This window comes from Homo sapiens, chromosome 5 (assembly GCF_000001405.40).
Source record: "Homo sapiens chromosome 5, GRCh38.p14 Primary Assembly".
Taxonomy (NCBI): Eukaryota; Metazoa; Chordata; class Mammalia; order Primates; family Hominidae; genus Homo; species Homo sapiens.
The window spans coordinates 145,586,486-145,611,256 of record NC_000005.10 but is presented as its reverse complement, the minus strand read 5'-3'; the positions used below and the strand labels follow the sequence as shown (position 1 = coordinate 145,611,256).

Below are 24,771 nucleotides of genomic sequence, written 5' to 3'. Positions count from 1 at the left end.
GGGAGGAGGAGGTTGAAGTGAGCCAAGATTGTGCCACTGCACTCCAGCCTGGGCAACAGAACAAGACCCCATATAAAAAAAAAATTGACCTTGCTAAATTCGTTTCTCAGTTCTAATAATTTATCTGTACAGTCTTTGGATCTTCACTGTACAGAAACATTATCTGCCAGAATTTTAATGACGATTTTACTTCTTCATTTACAATTCTTCTCTCTCTCTATATTTCATATTACATATTTTAATATTTATTTATTATATATTAATTTATATATTATAAATATATAAAGAAATATATTTCTTTATTTTGTTTACTGTAGTTTAGGGTCTTTTGTTCACTGCTAAATACATTATATGAGAGTGGTTTCTTATCTCTTCCTGATTTCAAAAAGAAGAATTTTGACCTGTTGTGATTAACTTTGATATTTTCTCTGTATTTTTGTAGTTAACCCTTATCAACTTAAACAAGATCCTTCTATTCTGATTTGGCCACTTTTGAAGAGAAAGTAGGAGAAAATACTTGTCTTAGAGGCTGAATAGATGTTACAGTTGTTTTTCTACACCTGCCACTCAGTCTCAAAGCCAGTATTACATCATGGCAGCACTTTACATCTAGGTACTAATTTCTGTCTCAGCCAGATTTTGGTGCATAACAAGAAGACAAAATATCAATGGCACTCAACAATTAGTCAGGATCTCTCATAAGCTTGTGGATTGGCTAGGTGGCTCTGCTTCAGGTTGGGTCCTGTGTCCTTGTGTTCTACATACTTATTTTGAATTATCATTTTTTTTTTTTAAATTGAGAATGATGATCTTTTCTCTTAACCTGAAGATAGTTCCAGGGGATGGGTCAAGATGGTGGACTAGAAGCAGCTCATGAGCACTGCTCTCACAGAGAGGAAACAAAGGGGCTAGTGAACACTAACCCTGCAGGCGGATTATCCAAGAAACCATGTTGGGATCCATCAAGGAAGCAGGGGGACACAGAGAGCAGGGAGGAGCAAAGCTGGCCACTAGCCTGTCTGGGCTCAGTGTGGAGTCAGTAGAACCTCTTCAATGTGGGAAAGGGTGTGAGTGAGAGCCCCCCAGGGGATTCACACCCTCCACAGAGACCCATGCAAGACTGTGAATGAGAGAATTTCCTTGGGCCCGCTGCACCCTATCACTGCACTTCTATACTGAGGCAGAGAGCTACCTGGGCATTTTATAGGGTCATCTCTCCAGTCCAGCAGGACCTCTATAAGCCTTGGGATCTGGAGCAGACCAGCACCAGCACCATAGCCCTAATAGAGGCTGCAGTCGTGGTTCCTGGGAGCAGTTAGATTGCTCTACCCTCCTTTGCCAGACAAGGCCCAGTACCAGCTTCCAGACCAGTGATCTCACTTTGTCTGAACTCATCAGGTGGCTGCAGCCTCCTGTTGTCCTGGGAAGCACCTGGACTGCAGGGTGGGTGACCCCATTCATCCCTGCCACTGGTAGCCAGGCAGGAAATGCCCGCTAGAGTTCCTAGCCCAGTGGTTCCACTTCTGTGTGAACTCAGCTGGTGGGCACAGCCTCCTGTTCTTCTGGGAAGCACTTGGATGGCAAGGTGGGTGACCCCACTGAGCCCCTCCTCTAGTAGCCAGACATACCACAGCTGCTAGAGCTTTCAACCCAGCAGTCCCACTTATGCCTAAACTCTGCAGGCAGGTGCAACCCCATCTTCTCCCAGGAAGCACTCAGACAGCGGATTAGGGCTGACCCAGCAAGAATATGGCCTCTCTGCCAACTGCTGCCCCTGCTTAAGGGAGACCTGTGGATCAGAACATCTAACAAAGGAAATGAAGGTACAGAGACAGTAATCAGCAGGGGTTCCTCCAAGACCCAGGAGCGACTAGAGGAGAAAGAACCAGCACGGGAACTTAGGCAACTCAAAAAGCCAGAGAATATTTTCTTACCTCCAAACAACCACACTAGTCCCCCAGCAATGGTTCTTAACTAGTCTGAAATGGCTGAATTGTCAGAAATGTAATTCAGAATATGGATAAGAACGAAGATCATCAACATTCGGGAGAAAGTCGAAACCCAAAGCAAGGACTCTAAGGAAGACTACAAAAGGACACGGGAGATAAAAGATGAAATGATCATTTTAGGAAAGAACCAAAATGAACTGATAGAGCTGAAAAACTCATTTCAAGAATTTCATAATATAATTGCAAGTATTAACAGCAGAATTGACCAAGCTGAGGAGAGAATCTCAGAGCTTGAAGATCAGTTCTCCAAAATAACTCCGTCAGACAAAGATAAAGAGAAAAAATTAAAGAAGAATGAACAAATAAAGAAGAATGAACAAAACCTTGGAGAAATATGAGATTATGTAAATAGACCAAATCTGTGACTCATTGATGTCCCTGAAAGGGAAGAAGAGAAATCAAGCAATTTGAAAAACATATTTCAGGATATCATCCTTGAAAACTTCCCTAACCTCACCAGAGAGGCCAACATTCAAATTCAGGAAATGCAGATAACCCCTATGAGATACTATACAAGATGACCATCCCTAAGACACATAGTCATCAGATTCTCCAAGGTTGAAATGAAAGAAAAAATATTAAAGGGAGCTAGGGAGAAGGGGCAGATCATCTACAAAGGGAATCTCATCAGGCTAACAGCAGACATTTCAGCTGAAACCCTAAAATTGGAAGATTGGGGGCCTATATTCAGCATTCTTAAGGAAAAGAAATTCCAACCAAGAATTTCATATCTAGCCAAACTAAACTTCGTAAGTGATGGAGAAATAAGATCCTTTTCAGACAAGCAAATGCTAAGAGAATTCATTACCACCAGACCAGCCTTACAAGAGATCCTTAAGGGAGTGCTAAATATGGAGAAGAAAGACTGTTACCAGCCATCACAAAGACACACTTGAGTATGGAGACCACTGACATTATAAAGCAACCACACAATCAAGTCTGCATAATAACCAGCTAACAACATGATGACAGGATCAAATCTGCACAAATCAATATTAACCTTGAATGTTAATGAGCAATTAAAAGGCACAGAGTGGCAAATTGGATAAAGAAGCAAGACTCACTTGTATGCTGTCTATAAGTGACTCACTTCACATGCAGTGATGAGCATAGGCTCAAAGTAAAGAGATGGAGAAAAATCTACCAAGCAATTGGGAAACAGAACAAAGCAGGGTTTACTATTTTAATTTCAGAAAAAAAAAAAAAACGGGCTTTAAATCAACAACGATGGAAAAAGACAAAGCAGGGCATTACATAATGGTAAAGTGTTCAGTTCAACAAGAAGACCTAACTATTCTGAATACATATGCACCCAATACAGGGAACACCTAGATTCATAAGGCAAGTTCTTAGACACCTATGAAGAGACTTAAATAGGCATACAATAATAATGGGGGACTTCAATACCCCACTGACAGTATTAGACAAATCATCGTAGCAGAAAACTAACAAACACATTCAGGACCTGAACTTGACATTTGACCAAATAGGCCTAACAGACATATACATAATTCTCTACCTTAAATCATCAGAATATACATTCTTCCCATCTGCATGTGGCATACACTCTAAAAATGATCACACAATCAGCCATAAAACAACCCTCAGCAAAATCAAAAAACCCCAAAATGTACCAAACACACTCTTGGACAACAGTGCAATAAAAATAGAAATCGATACTAAAAAATTCCCAAAACCATATAATTACGTGAAATTAAGCAACCTGTTCCTGAATGACTTTTAGATAAACAATAAAATTAAAGCAGAAATCAATAAATTATTTGAAGCTAATGAGAACAACGATACAACATACCAGAATCTCTGGGACACAGCTAAAGCAGTGGTAAGAGCAAATTTATGGCACTAAAAGCCCACATCAAAAAGTTAGAAAGATCTCAAATTAGCAATCTAACATCACACCTAGGGGAACTAGAGAAACAAGTGCAAATCAACCTCAAAGTTAGCAGAAGACAAGAAATAACAAAAATCAGAGCTGGACTGAAGGAAATTGAGACACACACAAAAATCATACAAAAGATCAATCAATCCAGGATTTTGTTCTTTGAAAGAATAAATAAGATTGATAGGCTGCTATCTGGTCTAATAAAGTAAAAAAGAGGGGAGATCCAAATAAACACTATCAGAAATGACACAGGTTACATTATCACTGACCCCACAGAAATATAAAAATCTCTCAGTGACTACTACAAACACCTCTATTGCACACAAACTAGAAAACCTAGAAGAAATGGTACATTCCTGGAATCATATGACCTCCCAAGATTGATCCAGGAAGAAACTGAATCCCTGAAAAGCCACTAATGAGTTCCAAAATTGAATCAGTAATAAAAAGTCTACCAACCAGAAAAAGCGCAGCCAAATTCTACCAGATGTAAAAGGAGTGCTGGTAAAATTCCTACTAAAACTATTCCAAAAGGGTTGAGAAGGAGCAACTTCTCACTAATTCCATAAGGCCAGCATCATCCTGATAGCAAAACCTGGCCGATACACAATAAATAAAGAAAAATTCAGGCCAATATCCTTGATGAACATCGATGCAAAAATTCTTACCAAAATACTAGCAAGTTGAATCCAGCAGCACATCAAAAACTTAATCCACCATGATCAAGTAGGTTTTATCCATGGCATGCAAGGTTAGTTCAAAATATGTATATCAAGAAATATGATTAATCACATAAACAGAACTAAAATCAAAAACCACATTATCTCAATAGAGGCAGAAAAGCCTTTGTTTAAAATTCAACATCCCTTCATGTGAAAAACCTTCAACAGACTAGGCACTGAAGGAATATACCTCAAAATAATAAGAGCCATCCATGACAAACCCACAGCCAATATCATACTGAATGGGTAAAAGCTGGAAGCATTACTCCTGAAAACTGGAACAAGACAAGGATTCACATTCTCACCACTTGTATTCAACATGGGACTGGAAATCCTAGCCAGAGCAATCAGGCAAGAGAAAGAGATAAAAGGCATCCAGATAGGAAGAGAGGATGTCAAACTATCTCTGTTTGTAGATGATGTGATTCTATACCTAGACAACCCCATAGTCTTGGCCCTAAAGCTACTAAATCTGACAAATAACTTCAGCAAAATTTCAGGATGCAAAAACAATGTTCAAAAATCAGTAGCATTTGTGTATATCAACAATGTCCAAGCTGAGGGCCACAGCAAAAATGCAATCCCATTAATAATAACCACAAAAAGAATAAAATACCTAGGAATACAGCTAACCAAGGAGGTGAAATATCCCTGAAATGAGAATTAAAAAAATCTGCTGAAATAAATCAGAGATGACACAAACAAATGGAAATACATTCCATACTCATGGATGGGAAGAATTAATATTTTAAAAATGGCCATCCCGCTCAAAGCAAAATACAGATTCAATGCTATTGCTATTAAACTATCAATGACATTCTTCAATTGTATTCATCATTCTTCATTCTTCAAATTTATATATATAAATTATATGTATAAAAATTTATTTCCATTATTTTTCAAGGTTCTAGTATGGCAACTAATTAGAAAAAAGTATTTTAAAATTCATATGGAACCATAAAAGAGCTTGAATAGCCAAGGCAATCCTAAGCAAAAAGAACAAAGCTAGAGCCATCATGTTACCCAACTTCAAACTAAACTACAAGCCTACAGAAACCGCAGCAGCATGCTACTGCTACAAAAACAGACACATAGACCAATAGAACAGAATACGGAGTCCAGAGATAAAGCTGCATGCCTACAACCATCTGATCTTTGACAAAGTTGACAAAAACAAACAATGAGGAAACAACTCCTTATTTAATAAATGGTGCTGGGATAAGTGCCTAGCCATATGCAGAAGATTTTTGCCTGACCCCTTCCTTACACCGTATACAAAAATTAAATCAAGATGGGTTAAAGATATAGATGTAAAACCTAAAGCTATAAAAACCCTGGAAGATACCCTAGGAAATACCATTCTGACCAAAGGACCTGGAAAATATTTTATGAGGAAGACATCAAAAGCAAGAGCAACAAATACAAAAATTGACAAATGAGACCTAATTAAATGAAAGGGCTTCTGCACAGCAAAAGAAACTCTCAACAGAGTAAACTGACAACCCATAAAATGGGAGAAAATATTTGTAAACTATGCACCTAACAAAGGTCAAATATCCAGAATCCCTTTAAAGCTTAAATAAATTAACAAGCAAAAACCAAACAACCCCATTAAAAAGTGGGCAAAGGACCATGAACAGACACTTTTCAAAAGAATATATATATATTCAAAATAATATATATATATACAGAAGAATATATATATATAATTCAATAGAATATATATATATATATATATATGGCCAACAAGCATATTAAAATATGGTCAACATCGCTAATTATTAGAGAAATGCAAATCAAAACCACAATGAGATACCATCTCACACCAGTTAGAATAGCTTTTACTAAAAAGTAAAAAAAAAAAAAAAAAAAAACCAAAAAAAACAGATGCTGGTGAGGTTGTGGAGATAAGAGAATGCTTATATACTGCTGGTAGGAATGTAAATTAGTTTAGCCATTGTGAAAAGTAGTGTGGTGATTTCTCAAAGAACTTAGAACTACCACTTGACCCAGCAATTTCATTACTGTGAATATACCTAAAGGAATATAAATTATTCTACCATAAAGACGTATACACGTCTATGTTCATTGCAGCACTGTTCACAATGGCAAAGACATGGAATCAACCCAAATGTCTATCAGTGATAGACTGGATAAAGAAAATGTGGTATATATACTCCATGAAATACTACACAGCCATAAGAAAGAACAAGATCATATCCTTTGCAACTGGAGGCCATTATCCTAAGCGAACTAGTGCACAGACAGAAAACCAAGCACTGCATATTCTCACTTATGAATGGAAGCTAAACCTTGAGTACCTATGGACACAAAGAAAGGAACAACAGACACTAGGGCCTACTTGAGGGTGGAGGGTGGAAGGAGGGAGTAGGTAAAAAATCTGTCTATTGGGTATGCTTATTACCTGCGTGATAAAATAATCTGTACATCAGACCCTCGTGACACACAATTTATCTATATTACAAACCTGCATATGTACCCCTGAACCTAAAAGTTAATAATAAAGAGAAAAATATAAATATAATTTAAAAATCTGACCTAATTACTAAAAAAAAGATATTTATATATAGTGTCATTACTGATATCTGAAACCTGTCTTATTAGTATTTTTAATTTCCTTTCACCTGCTGTATATCATCTTTTCTCTAATTTATTTTTCTAGATTGACTATTCTATTTAATCATTCTGTTTATATTTATTGGGTACACTGAAAGTTACTTAGTCTTTGTCTAATTTTTTAAAGTTTATCCTAGAAATTATAACTTGTATTCTTCACTTATGAAAATATTTTAATAATTGACACTTTTATTCTCTTCCTAAAATCAGTCCACCTCAGAATACATATTTACCCCCTCCCAAATTAAATGCTAACGTGTGTGTATAGGTATGTATGTGTAAAACCTAAAGTCAGTATTATTATTATTTTTAAAAGTCAATACTTATTTAAGCATTCCTGTATATTTATCCTTTTTCCCTCTACCTTTTTCTGCATCTCTAATTTTTCATTTGTAATGAGTATTCTTCTGCCCGAGATCACCCTTGGTAATTGTCTTATTTTGTAAGTCTTCTGGCGGTGAACTATCAGTTCTTTGTTTGAAAAATGTCTTTGTTTTGCTTCCATGTTTAAAGCATACATTCACTTGGTAGAACATTTTAGGTTGTCAATCATTTTACTTCACTACATTGAAGAAATCATTCAAGCAGTGTGCTGCTGAGAAGTTAGCCGTTAGCCCCTGGTTTACATTTTACTTCTTTGTCGATAGTAATCATTTTTTTGGTCTCATTCAAAGATTTTTCTTTTTTTTTTTTCTAGCTGCTCTGATTTAATTATGTCCTTTTCTTTTTATTTATTCTATTTAGCTTTTATTTATCTTGAATATGTTATGATGTATTTCATCAGTTCTGTAAAATTCGCAGAACTTACTTCTTTCAATAGTAGTATCTGTTCTTTTCTTTCAGGACTCCAATTACATGTATGTGAGGTCTTCTCATCATGTTCTCCATGTCTCTAACTGAAAAAAAAATATCGAGTTATTTTTCACGTTTCTTGAGATGGAGTTTTGCTCTTGTCACCCAGGCTGGAGTGCAATGGCGCGGTCTTGGCTTACTGCAACCTCCGCCTCCTGGGTTCAAGCAATTCTCATGCCTCAGCCTCCCAAATAGCTGGGATTACAGATGCCTGCTACCACGCCTGGCAAATTTTTGTATTTTTAGTAGAGACGGGGTTTCACCTTGTTGGCCAGGCTCATCTCGAACTCCTGACCTCAGGTGATTCACCCGCATTTTGTTGCTTCCTGCTTGATTCTGATTTTTTTCTTTTATGTATTTTTCAGTTCATTGATTCTGTTTTCACCTGTGTTTAATCTGGTCTTAAACCTATCCATTGAGTTCTCAATTACAGATTTATATTTTTATTCATATAAATTTATATGTATAAAAATTTATTTCCATTTATTTTTCAAGTTTCTAGTATGGCAACTTTTATGGTTTCTGGTTTCCTGTTAAAATAGTAATTCTTGGCTTTTATTTCCTTTACTGTGATAAACATAGCTGGTCTGCATCTGCTACTTCCATTACCTGAAGTCTTGTGTGTCTATTTCTGTTGTCTGTTGTCTTCCCAGTTCTTCCTCATGATGTCTATCTCCTGTTCACACATTGCTTTATTGTTTCCTAAAAGTCATATTTTAAAATTTATGTGTAGAAGTAACTTTAGTTCTAAAATGGAATTCCTTTTGTCCAATGCAGATTTTTATTTTTATTTTCCTCACTGTTACTTTTAGCATTAATTCCTTCCAGATGCTAGCACAAAGTAAAAGATATTTTACTAAGGTCCCTATGTGCTATCTGTCTTGGGCTTGGACTTTTCTCTCTACCTTTGTGAGGTCACCTAAAGCAGGTGCTTGAGTTATTTTACCCATAACTCCTTGGGCTTTACTATTATATTTTATATACCAGCCTTCTGACTACCAGAATCTGCATATCTTTGCCTCAGGGCTTTCTGCAGTACCCAGAGCCCACTCTCTTCAATACATGACAGGTCCGCAGTGCCAGAAAATAAAAACTTTCCTTGGAGTAACACTAAAGCAATGACTGGTGAAAGTTGGTGGATAAATATTCCAACTCCTTTTCTCCTAGGGTGAAATGGATTTTAGTCACGTACTCTGCACTACTTCCCAAAGTTTCATAGTAGGAATGAGCTTTAGTTACTTGCAGTGGGAACTTGCTAATAATATCATTATTTGTTGATACTGTTTTCCAAACTAACTTCCTCACTACCCTAATTGTGTTTTCTAGGATTATCTCTCAATAAGTTACTTATATTCACATCCTTGCCTTAGGAAACTCAAAGTTACTGTGTCAAAGTTACACATCAGTCTCCCAGCTACCTTGCCTGGATCAGCAAACTCTCTCAGTGCCAAAGTGGACCTGCTTATTAGACCCACTTGTCTAGATTCATGTCTTATTTTGGATCACAGTTCAGTAATTTCTCACTCTCTTATTAACTCTTCAATATGATTTAAAAGTTCTTCTAAGAATATATATTTTTAAATGTTTCAGTTGTTTTCAGTGGAAGAGTTAGTCCGAATTATCTAGCTCCCCATTAACAGATGTAGAAACTTCAAATCTTATCGCTTGAAATATTTTTTTCTGTTCGTTCTTTCATTCTCTTCTTTTGGATTCTAATTAGACTTATTTTGATATTTCTAAAACCATCAACGGGGCTGGTGATTTTAGACCTTATTATTCTTCCTTTAACCTCTTCTCTGTAATTTCCATTTTTTTCTCTCTGTATTTCAGGCTAAGCAATTTATTTATTTCAGTTTTTTCATCAACTGTTTCTAATCTGCTGTGAAAATCCTCTAAATTTTTATTTCACAATTATATTTTCATTATTTTTCCAAAATATTTCTGGTGCTTATTTTTATTTATTTATTTACTTACTTTTTTGAGACAGTCTTCCTCTGTCATCACAGCCGGAGTATAGTGACACAATCATAGTTCACTGTAACCTCAAACTCCCAGGCTAAAGTGATCCTCCCACCTCAGTCTCCCCAGTAGTTAGGACTACAGGCATGCTTCACTATGCCAGATTTATTTTTTTAAATTTTATTGTTGTAGAGACAATGTTTTGCTCTTGCCCAAGCTGGTCTTGAACTCCTGGGCTCAAGTGATTCTCCTGCCTTGGCTGCCCAAAGCACTGGGATTAAAGGAATAAGCCATCACACCAGCCTGGGCTTATTTTTTGATATTTTATTTTTGTTTCTTTAAACATTTCATACATACATGTTTATAATATTTCATATGCTGATTTCAGTATCTGAAGTCCTTATTGGTCTATTTTTTATTGTTTCTGATGATTCTCACTGATTTTGGTTTATTTCCTTGTGTAATTCCTGATCTTTGATTGTTAACACAAATTTGATTGCCATTAATCTGTAGGAAACTTGAAGTCTAAATCGAGAGTTTTTCCTCCAATGAGAAATTATTTTTGCTGAAAATTTTCCTAAAAGCCAAAGAGTGCTACTGAGCAGTGATCACTCTATTCCAAATCTTGGGTCCTTGGCTTAATATGTGAGTTTCATATTCAGTTTTTCTACCTTGCTACTGGGTCAAGGCATGGTGTCCCCCATCACACCTGTGAGATACATATATATATATATATATATTTTTTTTTTTTTTTCCCCCCCTGAGAGAAGCTCATGCCTTTTGGATGCACTTACTGTTCATCACTCTGGTGTCAGCAGAGATTTTCCTTCTTATTAAAGATTGCTATCCTAGCAATGCAATAAAAAGATTTTACTCGGGATCTAGCTGTTTTATCATGCAGAAGGCATTTGGAATACCTATTGTGCCATACTCAAAGAAGCAGAAACTTCATTTAAAATGTTTAATTCTACTTCATTGATGGTCCATGATAAAAATAAGAATTATTGAATAAAAATGTTAACTTTGTTAGCTTTTTAGAAAGCTAAACTTCAATTGAGATTCTTTTTCTTCTGGCTATTTAGATCTTGTGTTTTTAACAACTTTTAAAAATGTCACAGATAACATAGAACATATTTCTTTGTAAGCCTTTAAAGCTTTTCATAATAGGCTCACATTCTGTTGGTGCTCTCTTTGGTTTTTGTTATTGAAATTATTGGATTAGAAATACCTTGGAAGATGTTTTAAAATAAAAGTTTCTTAAACCTAACCCAGATTTGCTCAGATTCTTGGGTGTTGAGGGGCTAGGAAAATGGAGCCCAGGGATTTGCATTTTGAGTAAGCTATCAAGTGATTCTGATGTACAACTAGGTTTAAGAATCACAGATCTAGAAAATATCTGATTTGCTTTTGCCTATGAAAGACATTTTCAGGGATCTTATCTGAAATTTATTTTAATACTTCATTCATTGCTCATTCTTCCCCCACCCAGAAATATTTATTAAGTACATGTCAAATGCTACGGAGGTCATTAAGGAGCAATCTAACACACATTCATGGAGTTTATCATCTATATGGTAAGTTTAGTCATGCATTCAAGTATCTCGAGCGTAAGACAGAAACAGTCCAGTGCTGAAAAGGGGGTAACCATGAGAATTCCTCCAGTAGTCATCATGGCTATTGGCCGAGATAGGAAGTTGGGACCTTCATGGATACAAAAAGCCTTAAGAAAGAAGAATGAGAAGAAACAGAAAAAGAGTCTTCTAAGGCTTTCCAAGCCTCCTAAGGGTTTGTGGTCAGTTGAGCCTGGATTTAGTGAACACAACAAGATTATTCTTTCTGCTGATTTAACCAAATGTTTGAATTCTTTGGAAGTGTAAGAGTATAACAAGTTACTCTGTCTTTCTAGACTTTGCTAAATAGCTGCCAAAAATAGACTTTCAGCCTTGAATGGCTGTGTGGTAATAGAACTGTCATGGGCAGAAATATGACTTTCTGTCAATAAATACTTACTACTAAGGTGTAGATTTATGGCAGCAATTACTGTCTCCATGTTGCCTCTCTGCTAGCAAGTTAATGACCACCTTCGCAGCTCTTTCGGTCCCACAACTATTGGGGTCCATGATTAGTTGAAAGGGTAACAACCTATAGGCTGAATCAAGTTTTGACATAGAGGGGGATAAAAAAGGAAGGAAAAACCATGTTGCCTTTGAAATATATGGTTGGTATGTTTGCACCAGTGGAACCAGAACTCTAATAATTCTTTGAGTATTTAGCTTAACAGTCATCTCTTTAGCAAACTCTTTCTTACCATTCTTATGAAGAAGATCCGTTATTTTCTATTATTGCACCTGGTTTGTTTTCTTTATAACACTTATTACAAATTGTGATATATATTCTTCTTTTTTCTTGTTTACTGTTTCTCTCACTGGAATGTGGCTCTTTGAGACCATAGATTGTCTGTGCTTACTTCATCCTCTATCCCCAGAGCCAAGAAATGTCTGGAACAGAGTACTCATTACATTTCTGTTGAATAAATGAAATGCTACTGTGCCACAACAGTGAGGAGTGCTGAATGAGTGTTTGGTGAATTGAATCCAAATTCATACCAAAATTACGTATTCTTTTATTTCACTTCATAATAGTCTTTTATATGTTTAGGGTGCAATTTAGTAAGCACATTTTAGATTTATCTATTTTTTTGTTATGGCAACATCATCTGTTAGCTGGCTTCTGGTTGTCTCTACCTGCAATTCATCCTAAACATAGATGCTAGACCGGTTTTTCGAGAACAATCCATCTTGTCATGCTTCTGCTCAAAGCGTTCAGCAGCACCCTATTACTTAGAGAATACTATTATATTGCTTAGACTGCTTTCTCCACTCTAAATTTTGACTTTGTTCTCCAACTTTATCTCTCATCCTCCCTTGGTAAAACTTCGACTTCACTGGTACTGGTCTATTTAATAGACTTCTCTTTTCTTACCACCCCTTGCTTCATTCACACATATCATGAACATTCCCTCCGGATCACAAAGTTCTTTCTATTTGATATGCCATCTTTTTTTCACTTTGTCTATTGAAAGCCTACCTATCTAAATATTGAACTTTTAATGAAGCCTTCCAGGCCAATCTAACCCATGGGATTGTTCCTTTCTTCTTGTGCTGAAGCCCAAGTATTGCTTTATTTTCTCCAATAGCATCTTACGTTTACTATCTGGTTTTGATGCATAGTTTTTATGTGTATATTCTGCACAGAAAATAGCTTATAAATCTCCATGTATAGACACTTCTGTATTCACCCAGCTCCTTACTCAATGCAATTCATTGAGCAAATATTTAAAAAGTAATTACTGGATGAATAGTGAATAAATTAATAAATAAATCTTGCAGGTGCAGTATGTTAGCAAAGAAATCTAGATCTGGGATTTTCAACAAGATTCACCTGCCCTTCTGATAGTGATTATTATTTGATTGATATTGGATAGCTTGAACATAGAGTTAAGAATTCTTGACTTAACATGTAGAATGCCATATCAGTATGTTTGTCTGGGTGAGAAAGAGAAAGTGGCAGGATGCATGCCATAAGTTCATTTGAAGTATCTGAAATTGCCTTCATAGGTTAAAAATGGTCAAATATTGGCAGTATTGTATTGTTCAACCCAATACTCATTTATCTCGAATTTTAAATTGTTCTGAACTAATTTTTTCTACTCTGTGAAATGCTTTGATACCCCTGTCAGAATTCATGCCAATGGATTAGTTCAGTGTGCATCTATCATCAGATAGTTGGCAAAATTTCCAGATCTGTTATGTCATGTACCTTTGGCTAGATATGGCTTGAAGTCTACAGATAGGTAAGACTGGGTACTACCTTTTCTAGGGATAGTAAAGGAAAATAAAATATTCGGGCACTAAATAGTACAGTTACTACATTTAGTTGCTAATACATAGGATAATTTATTTCCATGCTCTTTGTAGAAGCCTTATAATTAAGGAAATAGTGTCATAAATTTTCTCAGATCTAGAAATCTTTGCTAAAAATTCAGTTATTTAATTTTCATATCAATATTTGAGCTTGTAATAGTAACAGTTTCTAATTACTTATGTTCAGCAAGGTTAACTCTACTGATGTGCTTATGTTTTCTGCTATGTAGTATTTTTTGACCATATGGAGCCCCTAATTTGCATTTCGTGTTTGCCATTCATCTTCTCAATGGACTATGGAACAGTGACAAATGACTAATCACTGAGGGAAGAAATGTTGGGGGTCAAATCAGGACAAGCCATTAGTGAGCAGTTTCTTTAGCATAAAATATTTTAATTCTGCTTCTCAAGTTATATTTAAGATATGCAAACAAATTCATCCATTGTCCAGGGTCTTATACTATATATTTTCTTTGAATCTGTATTTTGAAGACTGACTTCTCTTAAAGTCAAGACACAAAGTGAGTTTATCTCATGTACGAACTCTGATGTTTAGGTTCTGATTGCGCAGGGGTCCCCACTGAGAATAAATCACAGTGTTTGTTGTGGGGAAGTACTGTGCATTTTTTGATCCTTCTAAATAGTCAGTGACTTATTGTAGGCAAGAAGGCTTGGTCTTAGAGTTTGATGAGCAGTCTTAGAGTTTGATGAGCAGGAACAACAACAAGAACCTGGTTTTCAAATGAGAAGAATTTGATATTCTTCTCATTTGAAACAAGAACAAGAATCACCCAATGTTTTGGCTGATTTTTCGTCTAGTAGAACCACTCCCCTAAGCTGTGGTACTGAGACCTCATTTCCAGGATAAATGCCAGGTCTAATTAGTATGTCTTTATGCTTCTTGTCTGTAAAATAGAGATAAAATTGTGTTACCTTTTTCTTTGTACACTAATAACCTCCCTTCTGATAAACTTAATTGGAGAGGAGAGTCAGAGCTAGCTGAATAAATAAAGTCATTAAGTAATTTAAATCTTTTGAGTATATTAACATAAGTTCTCCCTCCTTCCATTTCTTCTTTCTTTCATTTTTTGCTCTTTTTCTTTGTTTTGTTTTGCTCAGAGCCTAAACAGACTTTTTTTTTTTTTTTTTTTTGAGACAGGCTCTCACTCTGTCACCCAGGCTGGAGTGCAATGTGCAGTGGTGCCACCTCGGCTCACTGCAGCCTTTACTTCCTGAGCTCACCTCCTGGGCTCCCATCTCAGCCTTCCAAGTCCCTGGAACTATCGGTGTGTGCCACCACACCTGGCTAAGGCTTTTGAATAGATATGAGTGAAGAAATATTTGGAAAGGGTAACTAACTGTTGGTTTCATTTTATCTGAATTAATTTTTTAGACATACTGAATAACCCAGAGTGATATGATGGAAATGAATTTTAAAAGTAGACATGTAACCATTAAAAAATGAAGGGGAGGTACTTGAACAACTTATTCAAAAGAGGAATACAACTTTTGATGATGCTACTTTTAGGGAGGGCACAGACTTTGAGAGTCTGATTTACAGTCTACTCTGGAGGGGCTAGTTTAACTTGAAAAACCTGAGAGTCCAAGCAGGTTTCAGTAGTCTGAAGTTTTATTTTTCTAATAGACATGGAATTCATTAACGACCAGGGTATGGCATACACTACAATACTGACATCTTAGTCCAGTGCCTGGCACACTGAGGTGTTAAATGAGAATTTGTTGAATTAATCAGTGGATGCATGAATGTATAGAACTGGCAAAGGTGGAGCTTTGCCAGTTTCTGCAATTTTATTTATATTGTCTATGATAATTTTGAGCTCTTTGATTTGGTGCTTCCAAACTACAACCCACCTTTACCTCTTCTTTTTGAACACGAAGGCTTAAAAGACTTTGCTTTCTCTCTTGGTATTACTATAGATTAACCTGTCATAGAAAGGCCGTGCCAAAAAAATAAATAGTGCAGGGTAATCGATAGTAAATAACATGGCTGACATGTGGTGTGCCATTTATTGACTCTGGCTTTGAACTAGTGTGTGTGTGTGTGTGTGTGTGTGTGTGTGTGTGTGTGTCTATTATGACTCTTCTTCTTCTTCTTCTTTTTTTTCTTTTTGAGATGGCTCTGTCGCCCAGGCTGGAGTGCAGTGGTACGATCTTGGCTCACTGCAACCTCTGCCTCCTGGGTTCAAGCAATTCTCCTGCCTCAGCCACCTGAGTAGCTGGGATTATAGGCACCCGCCACCACACCCAGCTAATTTTTGTATTTTTAGTAGAGATGGGGTTTCACCATGTTGGCCAGGCTGATCTTGAACTTCTGACCTCAAGCGATCTGCCCACCTCGGCCTCCCAAAGTGCTGGGATTTATAGGCGTGAGCCACCGTGCCTGGTCTATTATGACTCTTCTTAAACTTTAGTCTTTGTTAAACTAACATGAGTTCATTGCTTAAAAAATAGAAAATACGATAAGCAAAACCTCAAATTACTGACAATCTGACCACCTAGGGACAATCACTCTTAATATTTTATGGACTTATATGTTTTTTATAAGTTTTAACTTGATGAATTATGAATATTCTTGTCAATAAATATACATCTATATAATTACTTTTGTGGCTACATAAGTTGGACATTTAGGTCATTTCCAATTTTTGGTTTTATGTATAATACTGTGATGAGGATCTTCATGCATACATCAATGAACATGTCACAGAATATTTCCTTTTAATACGTTTTTTGAAGTGAGCGTAATTCTTCAAAGCAAATTGAGATGAAAGTCAGGAAGATCAGAAAAACAATAAGATGTAAGCCACATTTCTATAATTAGTAAAAAAAGTTAATGTTATTTATTATTAATGTGTCATGGACTAGATATACACTGACTCAAAACAAAAAAAACACCAAACAAACTGATACTTTTTATCAGTTGGCACAAATGATAAAAGATAAACTCATTGCCAGTATGGGTGTGGGGAAATAGGCATACCTATGTTCTATTACACAAATGTTTTGGAAATTATTTTTAATTTATAAATGCAACTTTTATTATGAAAAAATGCAAACATATACAAGAGAATATCATAGTAAGCCTCTATGGATGCTTATCAAGGGTTAAAAATCAGAATCTCACAGCCCATCTTTCCTATATACCCCATTCACTAAACAATACCCCAATTAATTTGAAACAAATACTATGCATACAATTTCATTCATATTTAAGTATTATATCCAAAAGACAAAAGATATTCTTTAAAAATACTATCACAATACCACTATCAAATCTAAAAATTTTAACAGTAATTTCTTAATATCATTAGTGTTCAAGGTTCCCAGATTGTCTCATTTTGTTTTCTACAGTTTGTGTGAGTCTGGATCCAAATAAGGTCATAGTTCATGATTAAATGATATATCACTTGAGTCTCTCTTAATCAATGAGTTCATCTACCACATCTTTTTTCTTCTGATTTTTTGGTTGAAGAACTCAGGTGTTTTTCCTACAAGGTTTTCATATTTTGAATTCTGCTGATTCCAACCCAAGTTGTTGAACTGTTTGATGACTCTGCAGTACAGTTCATGTGGTAAAGGCAGGATTTATACTTTCTCTTTGCCTTTCCTCTTCCTCTGCCTTTTCTTCCTTTTCTTTTTCATTAGTTTTCTGTCTAATGAGTTGATTCCTTAGGATTCAAAAGTTGCCTATAATGTTTTTGTTAGTCATACTATAAATTCATATTTTAAAACTGCTGGATGTTTTAACTGATTGCAATGGACTCCAGTTGCCGCAATTTTTGCCAATAGCTGGCTGTTCGGATTAACTCTTGGGTCTTCTTGAAATGACCTTAGAAACCTTTCATAGATTCCTTGATCACAAGATGTTCAGGTTCATTTTACAGATTTCCTACCACAGACTTGTATTTGGCCACTTCTCTAAGGAGCCCTGGTTCCTTTAAATGGGAAATGGTATTTAGGGGCCACAATTTTGGTATTAGAAGTGTCCTTTGCTACTGAGTCCTTCCTTGTTTCTATGCCTTTTCAATAGACAAGACTAGGACGTATGATTCTTTTTAAGAAACAAAATATATCATGAATTTTACTGATACTTCCAATCCATATTCAGGACTACAGTCTTTTTATTTTACTTTACTGATCTTACATCCATTTTCTTTCTCCCATCCTGGATACCTCAGCTCTCAAGAACACTAACATAATTACTTTTCTGCTTAGTCACATTCACAGTAGTCTCAGAATAAAAATATCAACATTATTGCCAACAACATGATTACTAAAAATAGTTTTTATTTTCAATTCTTTCTTTTCTTGAGGTATATATTCCAATAGGAAGGTGTAGTCAAACTATTGGTGCCTATTGGTGACTTGAAATAGTTACTTTCTCTGTCATTACATAGTTAGCTTAATATGTTTCATTTTATCTTCAATGTCTGTCGGTTGCATTTTTACATTAAATGTTATTTTATAATTATTAAAACATAATTTTAATGTTAATTACCTGTTATGCAACAAAGTAATTAAGTCTAGCTTGAATTCTTAACTCTCAGCTCTATTTACTTTGTCTTCTTGAAAGAATCAATTCCAAAAATTTTATGATTGGATTTTCACTTTTTAAAAAATATAAGCAATGATGTAAATACATTTGTTTCCTCTTTTTTAGATGTAGAGTAGCAGATTTTGCACACTTGTCTACAACTTGCACTTTCTATTCTGCTGTGGTCATCACTCCATAGCAATGTGTGTGTGTGTGTGTGTGTATGTATGTGTGTGTATATTTATATAGAAATATACATATATACAATTTTTTTTTTGAGACAGAGTCTCGCTCTGTTGCCCAGGCTGGAGTGCAGTGGCGTGATCTTGGCTCACTGCAGCCTCCGCCTTACAGCATCCCTTCCTCAGTGTCATTCTCCTTCCTCAGCATCCCGAGTAGAGAATACAGGCACCACCACCACGCCCAGCTAATTTTTGTATTTTTAGTAGAAACGGGGTTTCGCCATATTGGCCAGGCTGGTCTCAAACTCCTGACCTTGTGATCCACCCTCCTCAGCCTCCCAAAGTGGTGGGATTACAGGCGTGAGCCACCGTGCCTGGCTGATTTAACAAGTTTTCTAATGATGCGCAAGATGGTTGTTTCAGCTCATTTGCTGTTACAACTCATGCTGCATTTAAGTTATGAGCTAGTCTTGAGCCAGCTTAAATGTATATAGAAATTTTCCTCTCTCTCAGCACATTCATGGATAGTGTATGGAATGTAGGATGAGGTAGAGGTGAAGAATGTACATGAAGCAGTGAGACTGACATAGTAGGTTTAGACGATAGCACAGCAGCACTCATCACCAAGTGGCCATTAACATCAAGCTGAGGAAGTTTCATTTTTATTTCAGAATCAAATCAGATCCAGGGAAAGGTTTTAAGTATGCAAGTCAAATGCTGATATGAGCATTAGCAAAGTTAGTCAGTGGCTCCAGCCCAATTCCTGTGGTAAAGAATGGGTTTCCTGGGAGGGTCCCTCACATAGCAGGGATGGTCAGCTTTTCTATCATGGCAGCTTTGATTTAGTGTGGGATATTTGTGCTTTTTTATGAAAAAAATTCTCAAGAGCTTTTGAGTAATCAGTGAAGCCTGAACATTTTTGTCAGCTAAAGTGCCCTGAAATCAATGCCATGGCACTGCCATGAACATACAAACTTCATCCTAACATTCAAAATTACATAGATTGTTACTCTCCATAGTCCACTTCATCCAGAGATTGCTGAATTATCACTTCCTTTTGTACTATGAAATGGTCTATTCTCCAAAGTAGAAAAATATTAAAAATTTTGCTTTATTATTTTCATCCATTATTTTGAAATAGATACTTAAAAAATAAAGCCAGTGCTCAATGTGATGTTATGGCCAAATCAATGTGGGTCTCAATTTTTTTTTTTTTTTTGAGACACAGTCTCGCTCTATCACTCAGGCTGGAGTGCAGTGGCATAAACATGACTCACTGTAGTCCCAACCTCCAGGGCTCAAGCAGTCCTCCTACCTCAGTCTCTTGAGTAGCTGGGACCCCAGGCATGCGCTACCATGCCCAGCTAATATTTTTATGTTTTGTAGAGACAGGGTCTCGCCATGTTGCAAAGGCTGTTCTTGAACTCCTGGGCTCAAGCAATCCTCCTACCTCAGCCTCCTGAAGTGCTGGGATTACAGGCATGAGCCACCATGCCTAGCCAAGGAACTTAAATTCTTATTTGGTAAGGAAGCAAGTTAATCTTTTCAGATTGAAGAATCCATGCGTTTCCTTGAGTTTGGGCATCAGGTGGTCTTATGAAAATACTGAACAATTCAATATTCCCATGAGTCTAGACAGTGTCCATTCTATCTTACTGTATTCATGGGTTTTAATTAATGTCAGTGGGGGGCATAGGCAAACTCTGGGGGCCAGAGTTTTCCTCGGGATGGGACATAAAATGGAGTATATGTGAGACAGATAATCTGACAAACTGATTCTAGATATTATCTGGACTAATAGACAAAGGTAAGTTTGAAAAGAAATAGGATGAGGAGAATTTGCCCCCAAATACTAAGATGCATTTTAGATTTGTAACAATTTAGTAAGACTGGTACTAATACAAGTATAAATTGACATATTGATGAAATTCCTAAAATTCTTTATTATTGTAGTAGATGATTGTTGGTTATCTGCCATGTTTCAGGCATGTTCTAGGCTCAGAGAATATTTATAATGCTGAACAAGACAGTCAAGGTCCCAAGGTTCCTCTTGTTGAGCCTACATATTAGTGGGAGAGATAAACAATAAATAAATAAATAAGCAAACACATACATAAATAATAAGGAAATGTTAGATTGTAATAAATGCTATGAAGATAATAAAATTCATGAAAGAACAGAGAACACTTGAGTATCTAAGGGATATTTCTCATTTGGGTGATCAGAAAAGACCTCTCACAGAAGTGGATTTTAGAACAGACACCAGAATGAGACAAAGGAACCATCCAATAATCTGGGGGAGGACCAGACCAGAAAGAAGGAACAAACTCTGGTGAAAGCACTGGGGCTAGAAATAGCTTAGTTTTTAAGAATAAGAAAAAGCCAGTGAGCTCTAAATGTAGGGAGAAAGGAGGTAAAGTTGGAAAGATAAGCAGAGAATATGTAGGAATTTGGAGGTCTGGTAAGTGCAATTCATACTCCCTTCGTAATCCTAGTACATAATTCATATGTAGTACATATAAGAATATCATGCATATTAAAGAATGCATCATCTCAAGCCAATGAGGAGCTGATGGGCTATTCAAAAAGTGGTGTTGGATGCATTTGTTGTTTGTGCAAAAACATAATATTCTTACATCAAACCATACAACAAAATAAATTACAAGTGGATTTACAAACTTAACATAAAAACCCAAACCATAAAATACTAGAAGGAAACATGGAAAAATATGTATATGAGTTTAGTGTAGGAAAGAATTTTCTAAACATGAAATCAGTATAAGAAATCACAAAAGAAAACAGTTAGAAAAATGTCTTCAATAAATGTGGCAATGCATATAAAGCTAATCAATGAGGCCAGAAAAGCACTGAGGCTACAATTAATGAAATAACAAAAGACATAAATGGGTAATTCACATAAGAATAAATGCAAAAACCTTCTGAACTTATGAAAAAAAATTCAGCCTTACTAGAAATAAAATATAGTTTATTGAAAACAAAGAAAGTGATGTGACTTATGCCTGTTATGATGGCAAAGAAAAAAAATGATGATATTCAATTCTACCGAGAGTGTGGTGGTATGGACATGTTCAGATAGTTTTCATGTAAATTACACTCTTTTAACCATTAACCTTTACTTTTTGGGAATGTATATCAAAAGTATTAAAATTAAAATTCACCTTGTGTAGAGTAATTGAACATGTAAGAGCCTTTCTAACGTGAGTAATCAGAGATGTGAATAAAGATTTGAATGCAAGGACATTTACCAGAGCCTGGTTTATAAAAGTAAAACATGAGTAATAACCTAATGCTCAACAGTAAGGGAAGGATGATGCAAAAATACAGTTATGCACCCATTGAAAATTAAGGTTAGGCACACAGAGAATTTTAAACTGTTTGTGCAGTAGGTATTTTGTGCAAAAAAATTGCTACATTTTATTTATATAGCCAGCCACTAGCTTTCTCTTTCTCCCTCTTTCTGGAAGAAAATACAACAAACAGTTGAGGTGGTAATAAACTAGAGGTAAGATTATAGATACTTATTTTCTTATTTATCTTCTCTAGTTTCTGAATGCTTTACTACTAACATATATCACTCCTATAATCAGGAGAAAATGACGATTTTTTTTTTTTTTACCAATAAAAAGCATACCCTAAAACACAGTGTGTGGATTTTAAACAGTCATTGCAGGGCTTCACTTCCTTTCTGAACCTGGCTGCTGCTGGTGCTGCCTTCCAAGGGAGGATGGGAAGGGATCATCATCACTATTTTTGAGAGAATCCAGGCGTCTCAGATTGGGCAAAGGCATGAGTGTAATTGTGAGCAAGGGTAAATGCTTCAGGAGAGCATGAGGTAGGACTGACCTGCCAAGTCAGTTCATTTTTGACACATGTGCACCCTCTCTCAATTATCTTAATGCCACCTTATTGTACTACTTAAAATTCTAAGAGTTAAAAATTAATTTGGGACAATAGTCTTCTACATATAGATGTGAGTATGAATATAAGAACAATAATCTCTGGGTGGATTACAGGTCTATTCATTCATTCATACTTAAGTACGATTTGGGACAAAAGCAGTCAGATTGATTACACTTGAGGGAATAGGAGTTTTCTTTATGGGAAAGGAAAGGTAGGGCTTTTGGCATATGGCGTTCTTTGCTGAGTAGGAGCCTGCAGGGAGATGTGCTGCTCAGGAGGAATTAGGGCAACGTGAACAGTCTGGATGGTTTCCAGTCTCTAAGCTTTGGTGTCCTTACTTGTATCATAAGAAAAATATCTATGTATAGGATAAATATACTATAGCATAAATAAGATAGTGCCTAGAATATCTGAGCATACCATAAATGGTAGAAATGGAAATGATGATGTTGATGACAGTGATGTTCGTTAGGGGAGTAGTTCTAAACGAATGAAACAGTATTAAACATCAGTGGGGCTGCTGGAAGGGAAATGGAATTTTCCTCTTGCTTCATCTGGCAGCATGAGGCTTCTTGTACCTAAATCCTAGTAAGCAGGCAAAAATGATCAATTAAGAAATTTCTACTCCCTCTTTCTAAGTGGTGGCTGCCAGAATGGCAGAAATGAAATTTTCCTTCTTACTCATTTGCTATCATACTTCAAAGTAAGTTACTCAGAGGTACCCCAGTGGCCTGAAAAAAGTTATCTTCAAAGCTTGTTTTCAGCCTGGGAGTAGCTGAGTCATCCAGGGAAAATCTGAGTCAAATACCAGTGAATCAAGGAAATAGAAATGATATTTTACAGTTTGGTTGCAGCTGAATAAGGAGGACATGATTGGGCTGTTTGTAAAGTTTGCTTGGTGTACCTTATTATAATGTAATGGAAGCCCACAAGGAATAGCTAATAAAATTGAGTATGAAGTATTATGCTTTCTCAAAGTGCGATAGAAAAGCCAAATTTTACTATTTATGCTCCTATGTAAACATCATTAGGACTAGGTTCTCTATTGCCCCCAAAGATATATTTTAGTATCTCCTGCAAAGTTAGAGCTGAATTTTATGACTCTGTTTTCATGGGTATATGCCCTGTCAGCAGATGTTAACTGAAGATGCATGAAGAGGAGAAAGTCAATTCGACATCGGCATCTTTCTAATGCTTGCTGATGTATAAAACATCCCAGCCACCCGGGCCCGAAGGCTAGAAGTAAACTGCTTTGCCACAAAGGATAACGTAAGTCTCTGCATTCTCCAAGCTCGAGGACTGTTTTTACAGAAATATCACACACCAAATAGGATACTTTTTCACACTTTTTTCCCAACTCCATGGCATCTGGGAGTGGCCAAGTTTAGCCAGCCACGAATTGGTGATAATGAATGGTGATAAGGCTTGATCTATATGTTTTCCAGATGTTCCCTGGCTTGATGCTGTATCTTCATTTCATTGGCCACAATTACCCAGTTGTGGGTAATAATTCAGCAGTCATTCACAACATTAGTCTGATAGCAGGCCAGATAGACTCTTGGCATATTTGGCCTTTACAATAACCAATTAGTTTCACTGAATTGTGTGTGTGCGTGTGTGTATATTTTATATTTAGTTCCTCCCCTGTCTCTTTCTTTGTCATATTTCCTTTCCTTGGAATTAGGGATAACAAGAATTGTTGAGAAACACTGGATAATGGGTCTAAAGGTCATAGTTATAATCCTGGCTTTATAACCATCTATATATTTGAACTCAAACAAGTTATGTAAGTTCTCTGGGCCTGAGATTTCTCATCAGTACTATTAGGAGGTTGGATTTAATAATCTCAAACTTTCCTTTTCTAAAATCTAGCGAGTCTGACCTACCTCATGCTCAGAGATGTCGGATATATGGGGACTTCTGTGGGGTGGAAGAGAAGCATGAGTCTATGCCCATAGGAGCTTATGTTCTTATTGAGGGAATAAGGGAATAAATAACAAAATGAGCTGGTATGTGATTAAAACAAGCTGACAGCTAATAAGTTAGCAGCAGTTATAAAACTATGTGTTAGGTACTGAGAAGGGCACTTAAGCAATGTTATTAATTTT

General features: G+C 36.2%; 1 protein-coding gene across 4 annotated transcripts in view, besides 1 other annotated feature; it reads left to right on the top strand.

Annotated features, from left to right (window-relative positions):
* Positions 1-24,771, top strand: part of PRELID2 (PRELI domain containing 2) — a 606,358-nt gene that overhangs the window by 224,086 nt on the left and 357,501 nt on the right. The gene's annotated exons all lie outside the window — the stretch shown is intronic.
* Positions 22,909-24,108: an enhancer, noted in NCBI's record as "CDK7 strongly-dependent group 2 enhancer chr5:144966712-144967911 (GRCh37/hg19 assembly coordinates)". NCBI's record gives its function as "activates an origin of replication core promoter dependent on BRD2, BRD4, P300/CBP, MED14 and CDK7 cofactors, with strong dependence on CDK7, by STARR-seq in HCT116 cells {active_cell/tissue: HCT116}" and the evidence as "EXISTENCE:reporter gene assay evidence [ECO:0000049][PMID:35650434]".